We start from the raw sequence: 23,635 nt of genomic DNA, 5'->3' as shown, positions 1-23,635 counted from the left end.
GTGCCAGCAATGGAGTGGTGCGCAGGTGTGGGAGGTAGGGTGGTGCCCAGGCGGGGCGTGGGGTGGTGTGCAGGTGTGGGGGGGGTGGGGGCCGTGTCCAGGTGCTAGCAGTGGGGTGTCCAGGTGTGGGCAAGGAGTGGTATGCAGGTGCCCAGGTGCTGAGCCCAGGTGCGACTTGGCTGCCGGAGCCGAGAGATGAGGGTGCTGTGTGAGGAGAGGCAAATTGATTTCTGCAAGAGAAAGTCTTCTTCCATGCAGATGAATGAGATATAATTAATTATGTAGATTATAATTATCTAGTTATAGAGATAAGAATAATTTTTATTCTTTAGTTAAGGGCTCCCAGTTAAAACCAGCTGAAAACAATGACAGTTAAATTCTATATTATGAGATGTTGGCTACTTATTAAATTCATTATAAAAATATATACATACATATTTGCAGTCCAATTGCATTTGATAGAGCACAGGCCTGAGCAGCACCCAGCACTGGCGAGTGTGCACGAGACGCTTGTTCTGCACTTTTGTACCTTTCCATTTCTAATGGCCCAACTGGCCAAATGTAGCAGGGCGGTCATCAACCTCATACAACAGCAGAAGTGCTGGAAATTTTAACTATTTAATTTTAGGCTTAGACTTAGCTATAAATGCTTTCTGATGAGAAGTTCTGTCTTTTCCTTGAATGATTTCAACTCGTTTTGTTTTATGAAGTCTCTGTTCAGTCATGAATATCTTCCCCAAAGTACCTTTGTAAATCATTTTTTAAAAATGCTGTAGTTTACTTGTGACAAGCTATAAACCACATTTGAATTTTTAGGTTAAGTAAGAAACCCATTTTAACTAATATTGCAGCAAAAATACGGAATAGTTCCAAGAAAAAGAGGATAAAGTACTCATTATTCTAGTGATAATACAACTGAATAAGAAAGATTTTCTCGTTCCTTTTTAAACGAGTTCATGAGCTTAGGGAAAGCAGGCTTCCCTCTGCTTCTGGCAGTCTTGGCCGTGGGGTCCCCACTCTCCTGCTTGGGCCTCACCTTGCAGGGGTGCCTCACCTTGTAGGGGCGCCTCACCTTGCAGGCGCTGTCCATTCCACCTGCCTTTCCCTTCTCAGGCCCTCCTGGTGAGATCCCATCACGTCCCCTGGCCTCCAGTGTCATCTGCTCTGCATGATATCTCCAGGGGGACCTCTCTGCTGGGCTCCAGGCCGCATGGCTGTGGGTGAGGCACCTCCCTTTGCACAACTTGTCTCCTGTTCTCTTGGCGTGGAGCCCACAGCCCTCTGGCCTAGACGTGGGGCTTCTGCAGCGGCCCCTGGTTTAGCATCCACATCCCATCCACCCAGCTGCTCAAGTGGTGGCCAGGGGAGGGGGGCCACCTGGGCCTCATCCTTGATACCCTTTACTGAATCCACCGTATGTATGACTCGAACCCTGCGGGTTTTCTCTCTTGAATGTGTCCTGAATCTGCCCCTTTCTCTCCACCGCCCATGGGCTAGGTGACCAGCATCATGTCCCACCGGGTCCCCTGCAGTCCCAGTGCACCTGCCTGCTCATCCAGGGACCTGTCCTCACTGCCTGCTGCCTGCACTGTGTGGAAGGACAGAGGCTAAACGACGAAGCCTCGAGCTCTGGTCTCATGGAAATGGCAGCCTGCCCACCACCCACGCTTGCCCAGCCTTTCTTCACGCAGTGCGTAAAACACTTTTAAAAATACAAGTATTATCCTGTCCTGTTTATGAGTAAAATGATCCCTCACAGTCCTAGTCTTGGAAGCCCCAGGGGCCTGCTCGTGGGCAGCCTCTGCCAGTGTGGGTGCGGGTGATGGAGGCTGGGGTGTGTGGCCGGCAGTCTTGGCCAGGTGGCTGTGCATTCGGCCACAGAGCTCAGATGCAGGGCTGTGGCTCCAGCGCTGGTGGCCGGGGTGAGGGTAGAGAGTAACTCAGAAGCCGTGGCACTCTCTGGCCTAAGTCACTTATTTCAAAGTAGGAAAAAATCTTCTACATGAGGCCAAGGGGAAGGCTAGGAAGAGGGAGAGTGAGAGGAGAGGAACAGGAAGCAATAGACCTTGGGGAGGCTTTGGCGGGTCCACTTTATTCTGCAGGTGAAGGAAGTTAACAGAGGTTCCTTGTCAGGGACTTACTAGAATCAGGCTTGTGTGTAGGTGGACAACCCTGAGATTAAAGCAGGTTTCTGGCAGACGAGAGTGTGTGGCCGCAGCCCTAGGGAGCTCAGCAGCTGCCCCATCCACAGGCATCGCATGGGCTTGGAGAGCTGGGAATTGCCTGATGGGACTGGATTCCTAATTCTGTGTGAGTCATAAGTCCGCAGGCGACTTCCAGGCTGAGGAAGCCCCGGTGCATTGGTGGAGGGAACGTGGGAGGAGGCGAAGGCTGGGGAGACGAGGGGGGGCCTTTGGAGGCTGATGCTGAAGACCAGCTTGGCTTTGGCCTGTTGCGTCGATGCTGGTGAAGATTTTCAGGGCCTCGCTCCCCGCACCCGCTTGTACGTGTTGAAGATCCAGTCCTAGAGCAAATGCATGGGGAAGATAAAATACACAGTCCCTGTCTTCAGGGGACCTGAGGCCTCATCAGGATAGGAGGTCAGCACATGTGAAATAAATAGGAACATGCGAACGTGTGCCTGGGTGCTAAGTCCGCGGTGCTGTGTTTCTTGATGTCTGTTACCTGGAAGATGTAAAGGAACAGACGAAGCCTTTCTTAGAAATAAAATGCATTTGTAAGGTGGAATCTCCTCTTGCCTTACTTCAAGATGCATTAAAAAAATGGACATCATCCTTATAAATCCCCCAATCCACAAATGAGTAGTAATGGTGTATAACACTGGGGAAATGTTATTCCTGGTGTGCACTGGAAAAAAAAATTACTTTATCTCTAGATGGGAGCTATTTTAGAATTTTCTTAAAAAGTTTCCTGGTTTCATGTTGCCCTTTTTCTGTGGTTTGTAGTTAAAACGTGGAGAGTGGAATCTTCTGGGCCCAGGTAATGCGCCTTTGCTCCGACATTCCCTTCACTACTCACTGGCGAGCTCAGTTGGAAATTCACTCCCAATAGGAGTTCCACGGCAGACACATCGTGAGTCATGGCAGAACTTTGTCTTTTAATTGCAGAATGTTAAAGAAAGAGTCACTCAGGTAGCAAAGATTGGCTTTTCAGGGGCGATTTTATGGAGCTATTAACTCAGAGACACCATTACTTAAATGTAATTTTTATTATTACAATTAAAGACTGATTTGATTTTATGAGATCATGCATTTTTATTTTATGGAAGTTTTATAGTTAAATTCAATTTGAAATATTACTCTGTATTTAAAATAAAATACAAGCAAGTACAGTATTAAAATTATGCCATACTTCTCTTGCAACTGATGTTAAAACTCCCATGCAAGTGATTACTTTGGTAGAAACAAATGTTTCCTGATACAGCTAGGTAATAACTCAAGGAAAGTAAACTTGGTTCATTCTGTTTGTGAAGTTACCAGCAGTTGTTGGCTTATTTAAGATACCAAGTCTAATTAAGTTTATTGTCAACTTTTGTGTGTGTGAAACATAAAAGTTGATTTCCTCTCGGTTGATTCTCAGAGGAAGGAGTTTCTTTGGGTCAAAGGGAGCTCTCATTGCTACTTCAGTGTTTGCAGTGTGCAGAGTTGTAAAAGTTGAGACTAGCCACTCAAAATGCGAGCTTCTGGTCCTGACATTTCACGGGGAAAGGAAGGCTCATGAACCGACTGAGACATGGTTGAGCGGCTAAGATTTCTGTAGCTATGATGCTGCCATCCAGGCCGACTTCAGACTTGGGAAGTTTCCATGTGAGTTTTTGGAAGGTTTTGGGGTTTTGTTTTTGATGGAGGAAAAGAATGTGAAAGAGTGTTTGCACCAAATAGATTAAGCTGTTAGTAAACATGCACCCTTTAAATTAACTGATGATAAGGACAAAGAAGGTGCTTTGTCGTCGTCAACTGGATTTGTCTGAGGTCACAGAGACAAACAGGTGAAGGGGCAGTCCCTCTTCAACTCCCTAATGGAAAGCAGAGAGTAAACCGTGAAACGAGGAAAAGTTGAATTGGATTCTTCCTCCCATTTATTTTAGCAAAAGCTTGCTCTTCTTTCTCTCACTTGCCTTTCTTCCGGGGGGGAAGCCTGGTTTTTCCAAAATCAAATGAGCATAGGAACAAATATTGCTCAGGAATGTGCATCCTTTCAAGACCCTTAGCACTTGTGATGAGTAAGTCCCTGTGTGGTAAGTGACTGGAGACACATCCATGTGGCAACCCCAGCTTCTCGGCTGGGCTGGAAGATAATTAATTTCACTATCAGCACTGCTGAACAGAGAGCACTGTTCAGAGTCAGGGATGATGGGTGGGCCAGGCCCTTGCAAGAGGCTGTCCTTGAATTGGGTGCTGGCTTCCTGTCAGCGCGTTGCTTTAACCATTTGTGCCCTCACTAGTTATGAAAAAAACAGAAAAGAAAGGATAGTAGGTTTACAGGGGACTCTTTTGGTCCTGGGAAGAGAATGCAAAGCCTAAAGGAATCCTAAAGGAGGAGAAATGGGCTAGAGACCCAAGGGAAAGGAGGCGGCCTGTCTGAGGAGGAGGTGGGCAGGTTATCTTTTCAGTAGTTTTAGTTTGCAAAATGTGAGTTTTGCATTCAGTTTGGGTTTAAGCTGGCATGTGTCAGAGAAATGCGAAAGAGCCAGTATAGAAATTTAAGATTGGGTGCTGAGTTTCTTCTCCTTTTGGTAGAGGGTTTTTTGTTTTTTTTTTTGTTTTTTTTTGAATAGGGACTTCCAATAACTAAGCAGAGAGTTAGGGTTGTATTTGCTCTTCAAATTTGGGGGTTTACCATCAGAGGTTAAATGTGACAGTAAGGAGGTGTCCTGGGGTGCGGTTTTCAGAAATGGTATGACACTCCTCTTAGGAGTCCTCCAAAGCAGGTGCCTCTGCCAGGCGAGCCTTAGGTGGACGCCGGTCAGAGAACCACAGGGGTCTCAGCTGTGAAGGGATTGAGTGGACCGGACAGGCTGGCCATAGTGCTTAGGCCTCCATTGCAAAGTTACCAGAATTCTGCAGGAATGGGTTGTTGTCTCAGTGCTCGTTAAACCAGTCAGGCAGTGGGTGACCATCACCAGTGGACCTGGCTGTGGGGGCCTTGGCACTCGGGCCTGTGATTTATGTGCCCAGCTCACACATGTCAGCTGCAACCCCTTCACTCGAGTGTTGGGGCCTGGAAAGCAAGGACTGTGTCTTGTTCTTTTGAGGATTCTGGGACTTTTCTAACCTAAGATTCCTCAGTCCTAGTGTGGGCATATTCATGGAGGGGGGCGGTTATGAGTACGAAATGAGGTAACAGTAGGTAAAACACCTATTAACAGCACCAAGCGTAGCGCTTTCTAGAGGCTCACGAAGACGTCCATGCCCTTTTCCCATATCGGAGCTGCTCAGGCACTTTCCCAGGGGCTTTGCCATTTTGCACTGTCCTCACCTAACTCCTGGACCTACAGTGGCAAACCCAATTTGACCAGTTATGATTTGGCGTTGTCCTTCCTTCTTAACGCTCATGACCCAGACTGAGAACTTGAAACCGGCCACTTCTCACTAATGATTCAGTGATTGGCTCACAATGACCTGTGATGGCAAAGGGCACAGGTGAGGTCTCAGTGCCCAGAGTGAGCTCCTTTTTACTGTTTAACTGCTGTCTAAGTGACGCCCCTTCCCTTGAAAGGCCTGGTAGCTATTAAAGTGTACAGATAATGAGAAGGGGTGGTGGAGTTTCCCAGCCAGGCACGGAGCTCAGAGCCTCTTCTGGGCACACAGCGAGGCTCCGTTTCCCAGGGCCCCTTTCAGCTAGGTGAGGCCACCTGAGTCCTCACCAGTGGGGTCTGAGAGGGAGTGATGTGGGCTGCTGCTGGCCTGGCCAGGGACACTTCTCTTGGGCAATCTTTTTTTTTAAAAAATGGTATAAATGTGTGGTGTACAGGTGCAGTGTTGGTACATGCATATATTGCATAGTGGTGAAGACTGGGCTGTTAGTGGAACCATCATCCAAATAGTGTACAAAGAAGCCATTAAGTCGTGTTTAAATCATCCACCTCCCTCCTGCCCCCGCCCTTCCGAGGCTCCAGTGTCTATCATTGCACTCTCGCTACCACGTGGACACTTTCTCTAGTTCCCACATATGAGTGAGAACATGTGGTATTTGGCCTCTGAGTTGTTTTCCTTAAGATAATGACCTCCATATATATACACCGCATTGTCTAATCCTCTCCTCTGTTGATGGATACTTAGGTTCACTCCACGTCTTTGCTATTGTGAATAATGCTGCTGTAAACATACGAGTGCAGGTAACTTTTTGATATGGTTTCTTTTCCTTTGGATCGACGCTCAGTAGTGGGATCACTGGATTGAATGGTGGTTCTACTTTTAGTTCTTGGAGAAATCTCCATGCTGTTTTCGTTTTGTTTTTTGAGACAGAGTCTTGCCCTGTTGCCCAGGCTGGAGTGCAATGGCATGATCTCGGCTCACTGCAACCTCCACCTCCCAGGGTCAAGCAATTTTCATGCCTCAGCCTCCCAAGTAGCTGGGATTATAGGCGTGTGCCACCACGCCTGGCTAATTTTTGCATTTTTAGTGGAAATGGGATTTCACCACGTTGGCCAGGCTGGCCTCAAACTCCTGGGCTCAAGCGATCCTCCCACCTCGGCCTCCAAAATTTCTGGGATCACAGGCATGAGCCACCGCGCCCAGCCTCCATACTGTTTTCCATAGAGGCTGCACTAATTTACATCCTCACCAACAGTGTATAAGTGTTCTCTTTTTTCCATATCCTTGCCAACATTTGTTATTTTTGTCTTTTAAGCAACAGCCATTCTGACTGGTATAAGATGGTATCTAATTGTGATTTTAATTTACATTTCTCTGATTAGTGATGAGCATTTTTTCATATGCTAGTTGGCCATTTGTATAACTTCTTTTGAAAAATGCCTATTTTTGTCCTTTGCTCACTTTTATTTTATTTTATTATTATTATACTTTAAGTTTTAGGGTACATGTGTACAATGTGCAGGTTAGTTACATATGTATACATGTGCCATGCTGGTGTGCTGCACCCATTAACTCGTCATTTAGCATTAGGTATATCTCCTAAAGCTATCCCTCCCCCCTACCCACACCCCACAACAGTCCCCAGAGTGTGATGTTCCCCTTGCTGTGTCCATGTGTTCTCATTGTTCAATTCCCACCTATGAGTGAGAATATGTGGTGTTTGGTTTTTTGTTCTTGCGATAGTTTGCTGAGAATGATGATTTCCAATTTCATCCGTGTCCCTACAAAGGACATGAACTCATCATTTCTTATGGCTGCATAGTATTCCATGGTGTATATGTGCCACATTTTCTTAATCCAGTCTATCATTGTTGGACATTTGGGTTGGTTCCAAGTCTTTACTATTGTGAATAGTGCCACAATAAACATACATGTGCATGTGTCTTTATAGCAGCATGATTTATAGTCCTTTGGGTATATACCCAGTAATGGGATGGCTGGGTCAAATGGTGTTTCTAGTTCTAGATCCCTGAGGAATCGCCACAGACTTTCACAAGGGTTAAACTAGTTTACAGTCCCACCAACAGTGTAAAAGTGTTCCTATTTCTCTACATCCTCTCCAGCACCTGTTGTTTCCTGACTTTTTAATGATCGCCATTCTAACTGGTGTGAGATGGTATCTCATTGTGGTTTTGATTTGCATTTCTCTGATGGCCAGTGATGGTGCCTTTGCTCACTTTTTTAATGGGCTTATTTTTGTTGTTGTTGTTGAGTTGTTTGAATTCCTTGTAAATTCTGGATATCAGTCCCTGGTTGGATGCATTGTTTGCAAATATTTTCTACCATTCTGCAGGTTATCTCTTTACTCTGTTGACGATTTCTTTTGCTGTACAGAAGCTTTTTAGTTTAATTAAGTCCCATTTGTCTATTTTTGCTTTAGTTGTTTCTGCATTTGAGATCTTAGGCATGAATTCTTTTCCTAGACCAATGTGTAGAAGAGTTTTCCCTGGGTTTTCTTCTAGTATTTTTAGTTTCAGGTCTTACATGTAAGTCTTTAATCCATCTTGAGTTGACTTTTTTTGTTGTTGTTTTTGTTTTGAGGCAGCTGTCTCAGCTCACTGCAACCTCGGCCTCCCAAGTTCAAATGATTCTCCTGCCTCTGCATCCCGAGTAGCTGGGATTACAGGTGCCTACCACCATGCCTGGCTAAGTTTTGTATTTTTTTTTAGTAGAGATGGGGTTTCACTGTATTGGCCAGGCTGGTCTCAAACTCCTGACCTCAAGTGATCCGCCTGCCTCCACCTCCCAAAGTGCTGGGGTTACAAGTGTGAGGCACCATGCCTGGCTTTGAGTTGATTTTTGTATGTCGTGAGAGATAGGGGTCCAGTTTCTTTTTTCTGCATATGACAATCCGATTTTCCCAGCACCATTTATTGAAAAGAGTATTCTTTCCCCAGTGTATGTTTTTGTTGCCTTTGTGAATAGTTGGCTATAGATGTACAGCTTTATTTCTGAGTTCTCTATTCTGTTCCATTGATCTATGTGTCTGTTTTTGTACCAGTACCATGCTGTTTTGGTAACTATAGCCTTGTAGTATAATTTGAAGTCAGGTAATGTAATGCCTCCAGCTTTGTTCTTTTTGCTTAGGATTGCTTTGGCTGTTCATGTTCTTTGGTGGTTCTATATAACTTTTAGGATTTTTTTTTCTAAGTCTGTGAAAAATGACATTGGTATTTTGATAGAGATTATAATGAATCTGTAGATTGCTTGGGCAGTATGGTTTTTTTAACAATATTAATCTTAACATCCATGAGCATGGGATGTTTTTCCATTTGTTTGTGTCATCTGCAATTTCTTTCATCAGTGTTTGGTAGTTTTCCTTGTAGCAATCTTTCACCTCCTTGGTTAAATATATTCCTAGGTATTCTGTTTTATTTGTAGCTATTGTAAATGGGATTGTCTTGGGCAATCCTTTTACTCTTTCCCAGTTTCCAGGTAGATGTTGACCCCCTGGGAAACCTTAGAAGCCACACATTGATGATGGCAGAGCCTCCATTAGCTTGAGTCTTGAAATAACAGTGTGTGGGGTAGCTCTCCCCAACCCACCCCTCCATTGCCAGTCATGGGGCATAGCACCCCCCTAGCTTGCCCCTCAATTGCCAGCCATGGGGCATAGCACCCCCTAACTCACCCCTCAATTGCCAGCCATGGGGCATAGCACCCCCTAGCTTGCCCCTCAATTGCCAGCCATGGGGCATAGCACCCCCTAGCTTGCCCCTCAATTGCCAGCCATGGGGCATAGCACCCCCTAACTCGCCCCTCAATTGCCAGCCATGGGGCATAGCACCCCCTAGCTTGCCCCTCAATTGCCAGCCATGGGGCATAGCACCCCCTAACTCGCCCCTCAATTGCCAGCCATGGGGCATAGCACCCCCTAGCTTGCCCCTCAATTGCCAGCCATGGGGCATAGCACCCCCTAGCTTGCCCCTCAATTGCCAGCCATGGGGCATAGCACCCCCTAGCTTGCCCCTCAATTGCCAGCCATGGGGCATAGCACCCCCTAACTCGCCCCTCAATTGCCAGCCATGGGGCATAGCACCCCCTAGCTTGCCCCTCAATTGCCAGCCATGGGGCATAGTGCCCTGGAACCCACCCCTCAATTGCCAGTCATGACAGAATATCCACATTGGAATTGTGGTTTGAGAGAAAAATAAAAATTTTGTCTTGTTAAGCTGTTTAAATTTTGAGGATTATTTGTTACAGGTGCCAATATTTTCCTACCTAAAAGAGGATTCCTTATTAAAGGCTGTGGCACCACCATCCCTCAATCCCTGAACCAGAAAACGAAGGCAACAACTTTAATATTTCTTTATCCTCATTTCCAGACCAATTCCAAAGCCTGATTTTTTTTTTAAACTTTTAACTTTGAGATGATTTAGACTTAAAGAGTTGCAAAATACTGCAGTTACCAATATACCCTTCCCTCAACTTCCTCCAGTATTAATATCTTATATAACCATCATATAGTAATCAAAACTAAGAAATTAATATCGATAAATACTATTAATTAAATGACAGAGTTTGTTGGATTTCACTTGTTGAGGGACCTGGTAAGACATAGTAGGAATAAAATGTGAGACTCTTGTGTACTTTGGCTTACAGAAGCAAAATATGGTTTTTACACAGTTGGAAGACAACCAGCTGCCTGTAGTGTTATCACCAAAGAAAGACTACTAGGTGGCTCAGAACCACAAGTGTATTGATGTGAAACTGGAAGTAACTAGACATGTGAGCCTATTTTTTTTTTTTTTTTTTTTTTTTTTTGAGACAGGGTCTCACTCTGTCACACAGGCTGGAGTGCAGTGGTGCGATCTCGGCTCACTGCAACCTCTGCCTCCCAGGTTCAAATGATTCTCCCTCCTCGGCCTCTCCAGTAGCTGGGACTACAGGTGTGCACCACTGTGCCCAGCTAATTTTTGTATTTTTTGGTAAAAGCAGGGTTTCACCATGTTGGCCAGGCTGGTCTTGAACTTCTGACCTCAGGTGATCTGCCCGCCTTGGCCTCCCAAACTGCTGAGATTACAAACGTGGGCCACTGCACCCAGCTTGAGCCTAATTTGATCCCAGAATTAACACCATAGGCCGAGTGTGGGCTTATGCCTGTAATCCCAGCACTTTGGGAGGCTGAGGCAGGTGGATCACAAGGTCGGGAGATCGAGACCATCCTAGCTAACACGGTGAAACAGCATCTCTACTAAAAATACAAAAAATTAGCCAGGCGTGGTGGTGGGCGCCTGTAGTCCTAGCTACTCGGGAGGCTGAGGCAGGAGAATTGCTTGAACCTGGGAGGTGGAGGTTGCAATGAGCCAACATCGTGCCACTGCACTCCAGCCTGGGCGACAGAGCGAGACTCCATCTCAAAAAAAACAAAAACGAAAAACAAAAGAATACCATAAGACTGTCCCGAAGGAGGTACTGGGGGGAACCTTGGTCAAGTCAAGAGAAGAAATGAAGGACTGAGGATTTTTTTGTATGAGCTTAAATACTTATAAACATTTAGAGTTTTGCATAAATATATAAATCCAAGCCCAATGTATGCAAACTTGTTGGGCACAGGCAGCCTGTTGCTCCTCCAGTGACAGGTCAAAGGACGCATTGGACTCAGCCTAAGTTGCATACCCATTCTTCCTTTCTCTTCTAGTGCTGCCATTGCAGTAGAGGAGAAAGGCAGAAGGGGTGTCTCATGATGGGTGTCTCTCAATTCATGACACATGAATTGAAGCATTATGGAAGCATAATGACACATGAGTTGAGAGAAGGCAGGGCAAGACCTTGCTCTCCCATGCCTTCAGTGGGTTGGCCTGATGTCAGAACAATCAGGGAATCCTGTTGTCTGATTTTGCCCTCTCCCCTGGCTGCTGTCCACAGCGTGAGGTCCACCCAGCCTGGGAGCCGATAGGGGTTGACAGTGCAATGGCTGTATCCTCTGCATGGACATGGTGAGTCCTGCAGACAGTGTTCCATTTGTTCTTCCCATGAGCAACACTCCTCCTCGTCTCTCCTCTCCCTTGGCTCATCCTCTGTTCACATGTGAGGTGCTCATGTGGGAGGTTATACCCATGTGGAGGATGGGTATGTCTTGGGGATGAGGGTGGGGAAAGGGTCTGATGTCAGGTGCTGCAGGGAGGTCAGATGTGAGTGGGAAGAGCTGTCCTCCTTTTTCCCTACGTGCCTAGATGTGAAGGGGGAGCACAGGAAAGGAGGAGAGACAAGCCCAGTAGGTATCCACACATGGAAGAGGACTTCATCTGACAGTGCCACCTGTGTCTCAGGGCTTCTGTGGCAAAGATCACAGACTGTATGAGGCCGAAGCCACAGAAATTTTTTCTCATAGCTCTGGAGGCTGGAAGTCCAAGATCAAGGTGTCAGCAGGGTTAGTTTCTGCTGGGGCCTCTCTGCGTGGCTTGTAGAAGCATCTTTGCCCTGTGTCCTCACAGGGTCATCCCTCTGTGTGTCTGTGTTTGAATCTCCTCTTCTTATGAGGACACCAGGCAGATTGGATTAGGCCCCCACCTAATGACCTCAGTTTGACTTAATCACCTCTTTAAAGACCTTATGTTCAAATACAGTCACATTGCAGGGGCTGGGACTTCAGCATATTAATTTTGAGAGAGGGAGAACTCGATTCAGTCCATAACATCCCATCATGAATATAATGATCTGTAGATTTGAGCCACGTAGCTCCGTAATGATCAGTTTAAATACTGTAGGAGACTCTCTTGCCTGCTACAAAAACATGATGGCCCTTTGGTTCCTGAAGCCTTGGATGCTAGAACAAACACATAAATCAATAAATGACCTCTACCAAAGTATTTGCTTTTTATGTGCATAGTATAAAAAGTCTGACCCAGAGCCACACTCTCAGCATTTTCATTTTTGTCTGGAAACAGCAAAAGGGGAAGGGAAAGAGCATGAGTTCCTGGCCCCAGGTCTGCTGTGGACCAGGTTTATCGCTGTGGACAATTCCCACTTAATTACTATTTTGACCTGTAGCTTCCTGTAACCTGGTTATTAATTATGTCTGCTCTTCTTACCTCATAGATTTCATGAGGATTGAATAAGAGCACAGAGTGAAACCCTTGGCCATCATGGACGCTAATAATTTAGTTTAGCTCTTCAGTTCCATAGATATTTATTGAGAGCTTATTATCTTCCAGGAGGCATTAAGGATATAAAATTGAAGAGAATGGGCCTTGTCTTCAGGAGAAGGGAAAGACAAGGACAAGATGATCCTCATACACAGCTCATTTCAGGAGGATAGATATAGACACGGTGTGCTGTCCAAGCATGAAGGGAGGGTACTTAGCTCAGCCAAGCTGCAGATGGGGCAGTCACGGAAGAATTCTGGCATCCTCTCATCTAATGGATGGCTCCTGGAAGCATAATTTCTTAATACTCTTTTTAAAAACAGAGTCAGGAATGCAACTGAGGAAATCAGTCAGCAAATGGAAAATAGTTCAGATATCAGATTTAATGTGTTCAGATATTAAATATTGTTGATAGAAAATCCGAAAGAATCTACAGGTAAAGTCTTAGAATTCATAGGTAAAGTTTTCAAGGTTGCAGGATACAAGGTTAATAACTGCCTTTCTATACATGGTCATTAAACAAGGAAAACTGGAAATAAAATTTTGCAGGATACAAGGTTAATAATAACTGCCTTTCTATATATGGTCATTAAACAACTGGAAATAAAATTTTGCAGGATACAAGGTTAATAATAACTGCCTTTCTATATATGGTCATTAAACAACTGGAAATAAAATTTTAATAAATGCATCACAGATAGGAAATTTCCATGCATAACTGTAGTGAAAAATGAGGCGATCTCTGTGCTGAAAATTAGAAAACATGATAGAAATAAAGGAAAGAAGAGCTTCATCTATGGACAGACTTGCTGTGCCCATGAACGAGGTGTCATGTTATTGTAAAAATGTCATTATTTCCAAGAACATCTGTAGATTCAATGCAATTCCAACCAAAATCTCAGCAATATTTTTTGGAAATTGATACACTCATGATAAAATCTATATGAAAATAAAAAGGGCCAAGAATAGCAAAGGCAATTTTGAAGAAGAAAAATAGTTCAAAGATGACCCATCTTGTAAATACCCAAAGTTATCATAGATTAAAATGGCCCAAGTATTTATGAAGGCCATGTGTTATAAAACATGTCATCTAATCTCATTATTTTCCTTATCATCATTATTTTCCTTATTCTGCTTTTATCTTTAATTCCATCTCTATTAGTTGGCTCAGGCTGACATAACAACGTAGTGTAGACTGGGTGGCATAACAGACATTTATTGCTCACAGTTATGGAGGCTGGAAGTCCAAGACCAAGGTGGCACATGGTCAGGTTCTGGTGAGGGCTCTCTCCTTGGGTTGCAGACAGTCATCTTCTGTGTCCTCATGTGGCCTTTCCTCAGGGCTCGGTGGGAGGAGTGGGAGGGAGAGTGAGAGAAAGAAGGAGAGAGAGAGAGAGAGGGACAGAGAGACAAAGAAGGAGGGAGAGGGAGAGAGAAAAAGGGAGAGAGAAAGGGAGAGTGTCTCTTCTTATAAGGACACTAATTCTATGGGATCAGGGCCCCACCCTTATAGCCTCATTTAACCTTAATTATTTCCCTCGAAGCCCAGTCTCCAAATATAGCCACACTGGAGGTTAGGACTTCAACATATGAGTTTTGGAGGTAAGGCAGCATAGGTAGTCAAGGAAATAACCATGTCCTTGAGATGTGGCAACCATGGTGACCGCACCACCAACAAAAAAGCCCTGGCATTCGCACTGTAGTCAAACTCACTCAAGCAAAGCTGTCTCCAGTAGGGAATTTCTCCTGTAGACAGCATGTGCATTTTGATTTTGCCTGTCCTCAGACTGACCCTTTGCTCACTATAATAGTAAACTACACACCCCTGGGTGGAGATTTCAGTTGTTAATAAGACATGTGACTTATGAACAAGCATGTACAGCTACTGCACAGGTGTGCCCAGGGAACTGCACAGAGCATGCTTCCTAGCAACACCTCTTCCCATTCCTTTTGAACAATCAGGTAAGACTTCCATAAAGGGGCCCAGTAACTGTCAATGCTGTCTTGTCCTCATGAGGAGCCTGCTCCAAATGCTCTCCAGAGTGTTACTTCCTTGTTTGCACCTAACGCTCAGAGTATGCTTTCTCCCCTGCAATCAGTGGCTCTGTGCTGCACCTCCTTTGATGTGTGTCTCTGGTTTACATTCTTTTAACGAAAAAGAAAAGAACCGAGGTCTCATAATCACAGTCAACAGAGGCACGCAGACATTCCATCCGCATCACCTTCCTCTTCCTTTCTCAGGATTTGCAAGCTTATGTTGGACTCTTGGCTTACTAATTTTAAATTTTTTCTCATACATGCATGTAAGGCTAAATATTTCTCTTTGGGTACTATGAGAGCTGTTTCTCCAAATTTTTGATATGTATTACCCTTCGTTATCATTTGGTTCAAATTAAATTTGTAATTGCCCTGCAAAGTGACATCAGTTGGCAGGGCCATGTATGTCATTCAGCTGTGTGGGTGCAGCAACTTAGTGATGAAATGGACTTAAGCATCGTATTTTAAAGATGACTCCAGAGAACTGCCTGGGTTCAAATGGCAGCTTTATTGCAAAATAGGTCTTTGACAGGGGGTAACTTACGTAACTCCTATGTGGGATGAAATAAGCCCCAGTCTCCCATAGCGCTCCCAGGCTTATTAGGCGGGAATTTCCTCATCCTAATAAGCCTGGGAGCACTATGGGAGACTGGGGCTTATTTCATCCCTACAGCTTCGACCATAAAAGATGGCCACCCCCTGAAGCGGCCATTTTAGAGGCCTACCCTCAGGGATGCGTTCTCTTTCTCAGGGATGTTCCTTGCTGAGAAAAAGAATGCAGCGATATTTCTCCCATTTGCTTTTGAAAGAAGAGAAATATGGCTCTGTTCCGCCTGGCTCACCGGTGGTCAGAGTTTAAGGTTATCTCTCTTGTTCCCTGAACATTGCTGTTATCCTGTTCTTTTTTCAAGGTGCCCAGATTTTATATTGTTTAAACACACATGCTCTACAAACAATTTGTGCAGTTAACGCAATCATCACAGGGTCCTGAGGTGACATACATCCTCCTCAGTTTACGAAGATGACGGGATTAAGAGATTAAAGTAATGACAGGCATAGGAAATCACAAGGGTATTGACTGGGGAAATGATAAGTGTCCATGAAATCTTCACAATTTATGTTCAGAGATTGCAGTAAAGACAGGCGTAAGAAATTACAAAAGTATTAATTTTGGGGAACTAATAAATGTCCACGAAATCTTCACAATCCACGTTCTTCTGCCTTGGCTTCAGCCGGTCCCTCCGTTCGGGGTCCCTGACTTCCCGCAACAACTGTTTCCTCACTTCCAAAGTGGGAAAAACAAGGTGCGTTTTGTAGTGTGTGTGCGTGTGTGCGGTGTTTCCACCGTCCTGGTTTGGTAATTCCTCATTCGAAGTGTTCTCATTTTTGCTCCTTTTGGTCCATGCAGGCTTCAGCAGTTCCAGTCTAAATTTTGAGGTAATTTTTTTGCTTGGAGTTCCTGCTCTCTTCGGGCAGTCACATTCAGACTCCACACCCTTCTCCTGCTGCAGATTTGGAAATTCTGCACCTTATGGATGAGGTTTTACCTCCCCAGACCCTGGGGAGAAAGCAAGCATCTTTACCCTGCCCCATCCATTGATACGTGGCCTTGTGGCTTTGCACATCATCTGCAGAGCTCAGCCAGTCTCCCTGCTGTGGGCACAGGCTGCACATCCGGAAGCTGTGTGAGCTGGACTGCCGGGTCCAGTCTCCTGCCCGAGGCCTTGGGTCACCCATGTGCCGCCTGCTGCTTCTTTCACCCTTGACCTCTGGGGCTTTCTGCTCTTTCTCTTGAGCTCAGCTGTGTCTTTTAAAAATGTTGATTTTGAACTAGTTTTTCTGTGTGACGGCAGTGGGAGAGGCACTGGCTGCATCAATCCAGGCCCCCATATTCTTGGAAACAGGCCACAAAATTCAATCTCACCAGGACTGATGTTCAAGCACAATTTTTGTTTTAAGTAAATGACACCCCTTTAAGTGGCCTGGAGTGAGTCTGGACTTTAAAAAATTAGTTCATGTGATTCATTCAATTATACTTTTCCCCAATGAAATGTTGAACTGTAGCAAAATTCTTGGCATGAGCATTCTTTTCTATTCTTTTAGGCATAAGCTACCACTGGGGGGTGAGCCATCTCCAGCACAGCGCATCAGTCTTTCCAGAGGAGGATGAGGCTAGAGAGCTCAGCTGCTAGAGATTCTCCTCCTCACTGGGCAACTTAGGGTTATAACATTTACAGTATCTGTCTACCGTAACTTTATCCAATAATTTCACTCTTTCTTTCCAGGGATCCTTTTTTAGTTTGTTGGTCTTTCATGTAGTGTCTCTGCTTTCTTTAATAAGTTGATTAAACTGAATATCCATGAAAGACCACTTTTTTTTTTTTTTGCAGCATAACTAAATTTTGAAGATATCTCAGGAATTCTTTGGGATAAATGGATAACTACATAAAACTATATCTCTGAGTATATTGAACAATCTCAAGAAAAATATTGGGCACTGAAAATTATTTGAATTCTCTTTCTTTTCTGTTTTGTTGAATTTCATTAGAAGCTTAAATTCTAAAAATGAAGCATCTATCTTGCACTTTGGCCGAGTGCCTGGATCTGTTCGAAATTGGATCTTATAAATATTCCATCAAGTCCTATGTAATGGGTTTGCTTTTTCCTGGCAGATAGCCTGTGTGGATGGCATCTTAAACATTTGTGACATTTTTGCAAAACTTGACAAAAACATTTCAAGCATTAATAGTTTTGTTAATAAATTCCTCAGCACCCAAACACTACATTAGTTAAGAAAATTCTTGACACCAATCCTTCTACTGTTTTACGTTTGACATTGGGTAGGTGACTGCTAGCCTGCAAAATATCAGTTTAAAGCTGCACCTCAAATGGGATCACTTAGAAAATGCCCAGTGCAAGGTGACTTGGCACTTTCCTAACAAGAAGGGACAACTAATGAAACCAGGTGGTCGGCTCCATTTAAGAACTCATTTCATTCAGAGAGTCTGACTGGGCAGTCTTTTTTTAAAAAAAATAATATGCTGGGGTTTTTTTGTGTTTTTTTGTTTTGTTTTGTTTTTTGTTTTTTGAGAAGGAGTCTCGCTCTCTCTCCCAGGCTGGAGTGCAGTGGCGTGATCTCGGCTCACTCCAACCTCTACCTCCAGTGTTGAAGTGATTCTCCTGTCTCAGCCTCCCGAATAGCTGGGACTATAGGCGTGCGCCACCATGCCTGGCTAATTTTTGTATTTTTAGTAGAGACAGGGTTTCACCATGTTGGCTAGGCTGGTCTTGAACTTCTGACCTCAAGAGATCCTCCCACCTCAGCCTCCCAAAGTGCTGGGATTACAGGTGTGAGCCACCATGCCCAGCCTGGACTGGGCGTTCTGTACTAGAAAACTTCCTCTGCATGCCCAGGCAGGACTCAGCACCACAGGACCAAACCATGTGCATTAGTATAGTGTTTATGAATATGTATATTCATAGATAATTTAAACTATTTGTAAAGGTAGTGATAACAATAACATCCTCGAATTGCAGTGTATGCTACATTTTAACACACTGGAAAATAACAAGCCATTAAGACATTACTTTGTGCTTCTAGATTAATTTCTTTGGGGAAGACTTTGAAATGAAGATAATCCTGTCATTTTGGGGTCAATATTTGAACTTCTTCTAATCCATTATTAATTTAAAAGTTTTATCTCTATAATGATCTTTCTTGGAATTTAGGCTTGTGATTCTCACTTATGTCAAAGTCTGTAAAAGACAGTGTTTCCAAAGCATTACATATATGTGTGTATAGATGTGTATGTATGTGTGTGTGTGTGTGTGTGTGTGTATTTATAGTGGCAATACTGGCTCAATGAATGGCCACACAAGCTTTCACGTTTACTTGACATTTGATCTAGTGACAGCTTATCAGTCATTTGTATGGTAACAAGTGAATATGCATCTGGCCATCGTGCCCTTATATTTTTGCTACATATGGTAGATATTGTACGCCTGGGGTTGCTTTACATATTTTTATAGTTTCCTACTCTTGTTGCAAATGTCTGGGTCAATTTGATTGAAGAATAGCCAGATTGCAAGGTGAAATGTTAAAAACCCATGGTTATTTTCAACTATGTAGGGCAATGTGCAACTCAAACAGAATACCAAAGGAAGCAGGATGCAGAGGCTGGTGAAATATCTGCAGATGTCATGAGCAACTCCTGGTTTCTGTGTTTATCAGCATTTGTTGTGTTTTTCATTGATTTCCTTTATAATAGGAAAATATTTCCTTTATAATAGTGTGTTCGTTTATATGTTTCCACTTCCAATATACTATCACTTTTGTTTTGTATGTTGGAGTTCTGTGTACATATTTTTACTCCAAAGAGCGTTCTGCTACTAAAGATATTTAAAAACTGATAAAATGGCAAGAACATGGCTAGGAACTCAGGAAGAGTTAAGTTTGACTTTTGGTTCTAAAACCTGCTAGACCTATGGCCTGGACCAAGTCACCTAATCTCCCAGAGACTCAGCTTCTCTGTGGGTTGAATATGGGTAGGACCTACTTCATGGATTTGCAATGAGGATGGAATAGATAACGTAGGAACCACTGAGCACAGTGCCTGACATACCCTTGATGGACACTATATAGTATTGATTACTGTTCATTTATTGCGATGTGGTAGGATTTTTGGCTTTAAGACAGAATAATCAAGAGTCAGGAGCTCTGGACTAGTGTGTGGAGAAGTTCGAAAGCTGGCTGGTTGTGAGGAAACATGGTGTTAATTGAAGTTTAAGTAAGTTTAGGAGTGAAGAGAGGTAACAGACGTGGTGTGGAATGAGACTAGTTTTATGTACCTTGTGTTTACGTTTGATAAATACCATTTGGCTTTCAAATTATGAAACAATATTAATGAAGGCAATGGGAACTTGCTGTATTTTATATTGTCTCTGTGTTCACACTCTCATATAGGATTGAATCGCACAACAGAGTTATATATATAGATTCAATAATTATTGTTTTCATCAATCTAGAACTTTGAATTTGGAGAGGATATGAGAGATTACTTAGGGTATGTCTGCTCACTTTATAGACGATGAAACTGAGGCCAGAGAATTGGGGAATTGTGCATAATTGTGCATAAGAATTACCAGCTCATATCTGCAACCTGGATTTCCTGGTGCTCAGGCCAGCGCCCATGTGGTCGTCCTGACCTGGTAACTGTTACACTCTGGGCTTCCAGGTTGATGTGGTTCCATATATCCAGGTCCTTCCTCAAACTTGGTGCCAAAGTTCCAGATTCTGCGTGTCATGATTTTTGGGAGTGAAGATTGGGTCCCTGTAGATTAGATTACTTTTAGGACTTTCCTTCATAGAGCATACGATTCTCTGTTAGTGATAACCCAATTTGTGAAGCAGTGGGGTGTGTACTTTTATGCATTTCCTATTTTCCATCACTGTGAACAAGGACAGAAAAAGCAGACAGACCAGTCCTTAGAAGGGTTGGTGAATGGCAAGGCAGTGAAAGATGAATTTACTGATAACTAGAGACAATTTCTTCATGGAGAATTTAATATTAGATTAAAATCTATGCTTTTTCCTCTCCCTTTGCAGCTTATATAAACCAGACCTGGCTGTATGGTAGTCACTCATTAAAAGAAAGCTGGGCATAGATGTAGGTGAAGACAAAATTCAGCATGCTTAGAGTTTTTATTAATTGGTTTATTAGTTTATCCATCCATTCATCAAGTGATCATTAAGGACCTCCTATGTATTGAGATCACAATGCCTAGCATACAGTAGGTGCTTAATCAGTGGTGGATATTATTATTTCTATCATTTCTATAGTAATACAAATACTAATGAAAACAACCCTATGCTGAAAAATGCTGAAGCAAATTAGGTTTCATCTTTGCAGAGCTTCAAGTTTGGCAGGAGTACTGTGATCAGCCAGGAAGACAGAAAGCATGATCATATTTGTAGACATTTACTTGAGTCTTGATTTTTTTAATCCACGCTGACAATCTCTGCCTTTTAATTGGTGTATTTAGACCATTTACATTTAAAGTGATTTTTGATCTAGCTGGATTAATATTTACCATGTTTGTAACTGTTTTCTGTGTGTTGAACTTTTCCCCTTCCCCTCTTTTACTGAGTTCTCTGGCTTTAATTAAGCATTTTATATGATCTCTCCTTCTCTCTTCTTTTGGCTTATCAGTTATAATTATATCTAAATATTTTCTTAGTGGTTACCCCATAGTTTGCAATATACATTTACAACTACTTTAAGTTCACTTTCAAATAACAATATGCAGTTCACGAGAGTGCAGGTAGGTAACTTATAACAAAATATTCCCAATCCCTTCTGCCCATCTCTTATAATGTTGCTGTCATTCATTTTACTTATCCATATACTATAATCAACCAATACGTTATTACCATTGTTACAATGAAAAAATAGTTACTGATAAGAAAAGATTAAGCATAAAAAATATTTTCCTTTCATGTATTCCTTCTGTGATGCTCTTCCTTTCTTTAAGTAGATCAGAGCCGCTGCCCTATATTATTTTCCTTCGGTGACAAAGGGAGCCAGAGGGGGCTGGAGATGGGTAGTTGTCCTCCCTGCAGGTGGTAGGTGAGATTAGTCCCTGGTAAAGTCTTTTCCCTGCAGAGGAGGTCTTTGTGATGGAGAATGCCCTGGGTGTCCTTTAAAATGATTACTTTCCCTTCTCCCTGCCTAAAATACAAGGGATTTTTTTCTTGGCTCTTTATTTGAGAACCTGGTGGGGTTCCTGGAGGTAAAACCACGAGAGTGTGGGCCCCCCCTAAGGTTGGGCCCCAGGAATTTCTCACTCTCAGGCTGGGCTATGTGCAGCCTCCAGCAGTTCATCCAAATCACCATCTAATATTCCTGCCAGCTTGGGGCTCCTGCCCTGCAGCCCCGGCTCAGCTGACTCCAGCAGTGATCCTCCGTGTATTGTCTCTCTGGTTTTCAGAGCAGCGGTTTTCCCTATGACCTCAATTCTTCAATGGATACAAAAAAGGTCCTTGATTTTCAGGTTGTTCAGTCTTTTCCTTGTGTTAAGGACAAGAGGGAGATCTAAGCTTTTTCCATATTGGAGTAATAACGATTAGTAAGTGGTTAAGGAATTGTTTTAAAGTTCCTCATCTTTGTTTTACACACACTTTAATAATTTTTCTTTTAAAATATTTTCAAAAGCTTTAAGCTAGGAAGTTTGTTAAACTATCACAAATATTACCATTTTTAAAATTAATTTTTGCAGAAAAAGGGTGTCAATATTATTTTTCTATAAAATACTACCACATCATTCCAGCTCTGGGAGTATCACTTAAGAATATAATTTTACAGAATAAGGCTTTCTGCACAAAGATATATATTGTAGTAATATGTATAGCATGTCTTTTGGGATTATAATCTAAATCATTTGTCATTTGTCTTACGCTTAATCTATGCTGTAAATTGTCTTCCGTTTGTGATGTCTCATTAGTCGATTGGGTTTGTGAACTCCTGATGACGGGGAGCTGACTTATACCCCTTTAAATTTGGCACCCCCGACCCCCCCACCCAAAAAACTCAGCATACCTGTGTTTTTGGTCAACAGAGATTTGTGCCCTTGGCTCTGGACGATATGAAGATGAATAAGAAAGAAATGGCCCTCACCCCCATGGGACTTAGATTACAGTGGAGGAGACAGACTTTACTTACAAAACTGTACGAACCATTTTTAATTAAGATGGAATAAATACCAGGAAGGAAAATACTGTTTGCAAAATTTAACAGTACGGAGTGACTTCCCACAGAGGAGGTCGGCAGAATTTATTGATTTATCCAGAATGAGCTCTGAGGACGCGTTTGCTTATGTAGCAGGTGTAATTTTCAAATTCACCTCAGCCTGACTCACGTTGTCACCAGAGGATACAGGTGAGATTTTCAGAAACAAACTTTTCTTTGCTTACTAGCAAGTGTTTCAGCCCGTGTGCCAGCCACTGATGTCACCACAAAATCTGATATCCATTTGGTAGACTATCAGAAATGTGCTGCGCGTGCAGTGTGGTTTCTATTAGTGTTATTAGGGGTTGTGTGGTTGAATTCCATTTCACCCTTCCAGAAAAATATCCTCATAGTAAGTGATCCCTGTGAAGCAGAGCACTGGGAACATGGCTTTGGCATTGTCAAGTGTGGTCATGTCGTTTGCTCTTGTTACTGTTAGCATTTGTGTTTTACTGCAAATACTCCAGATTGAAATAATAGGGATCTGGAGGTTTTGAAAAATCAGAAGAAAAAACAAGATGTTTTACTTGTGCTTCTGATTTTCAAAACGGTACATCAGTGCAGTAAAAATTAGTTTAACCGCTGTACACTTTGCCACTAACCTGTGACCAGGCTGCTAATAAGAGACGTTTGAAAGGCAACTTTTCATTTTCCCTCTTCCATGTGTGTGTGGACTTACCCTGCAGCTAGAGGTGGGGCACTTGCTTCTGCCTCCAACTCATGGCTAGTTTGCAACGTCCTTTCTGGCTCTTGACCTTTGGAAGTGACAATCCTCAGCACTGAATAATTTTTAAAATAGTTTATAAGCATTGTCATTTAATTTTGCTTTTTACACCAATTCTGTGAGGTGTAACACAGTTGAATGTTTCTGTGGATTGGGTTGGCAAGATGTTATTGTTCCCACAGATGAGGAGCCTGAGAATTACTGAAGATGCTCACCAGGAAGTCTTCTGTAGAAAATAAGTAGGAGAAGCTGGGTGCGGTGGCTCATGCCTGTAATCCCAGCACTTTGGGAGGCTGAGGTGGGTGGATCACCTGAGGTTAGGAGTTCGAGACCAGCCTGGCCAGCATGGTGAAACCCCATCTCTACTAAAAATACAAAAATTAG

General features: G+C 43.3%; 1 long non-coding RNA gene across 2 annotated transcripts in view, besides 2 other annotated features; it reads left to right on the top strand.

Moving 5' to 3' along the window:
- Positions 1-23,635, top strand: part of RNF32-DT (RNF32 divergent transcript) — a 168,437-nt gene that overhangs the window by 33,658 nt on the left and 111,144 nt on the right. Inside the window, exon 2 of one of the 2 annotated variants that reach the window (NR_026865.2) lies at positions 1,498-1,690. This is a non-coding gene — a long non-coding RNA (RNF32 divergent transcript). Of the gene's footprint in view, positions 1-1,497; positions 1,691-3,682; positions 3,828-23,635 lie in introns of those variants that run through there. The other variant, NR_103858.1, reaches the window with a different exon arrangement.
- Positions 20,937-21,451: an enhancer, noted in NCBI's record as "OCT4-NANOG hESC enhancer chr7:156378121-156378635 (GRCh37/hg19 assembly coordinates)". NCBI's record gives its function as "activates a minimal SCP1, AML or CMV promoter by ChIP-STARR-seq in naive and primed H9 embryonic stem cells {active_cell/tissue: H9 hESC(naive and primed)}" and the evidence as "EXISTENCE:reporter gene assay evidence [ECO:0000049][PMID:30033119]".
- Positions 21,452-21,966: an enhancer, noted in NCBI's record as "OCT4-NANOG hESC enhancer chr7:156377606-156378120 (GRCh37/hg19 assembly coordinates)". NCBI's record gives its function as "activates a minimal SCP1, AML or CMV promoter by ChIP-STARR-seq in primed H9 embryonic stem cells {active_cell/tissue: H9 hESC(primed)}" and the evidence as "EXISTENCE:reporter gene assay evidence [ECO:0000049][PMID:30033119]".

Source organism: Homo sapiens, chromosome 7, assembly GCF_000001405.40.
Source record: "Homo sapiens chromosome 7, GRCh38.p14 Primary Assembly".
NCBI lineage: Eukaryota > Metazoa > Chordata > Mammalia > Primates > Hominidae > Homo > Homo sapiens.
This window is presented reverse-complemented; position numbering and strand designations above follow the sequence as displayed.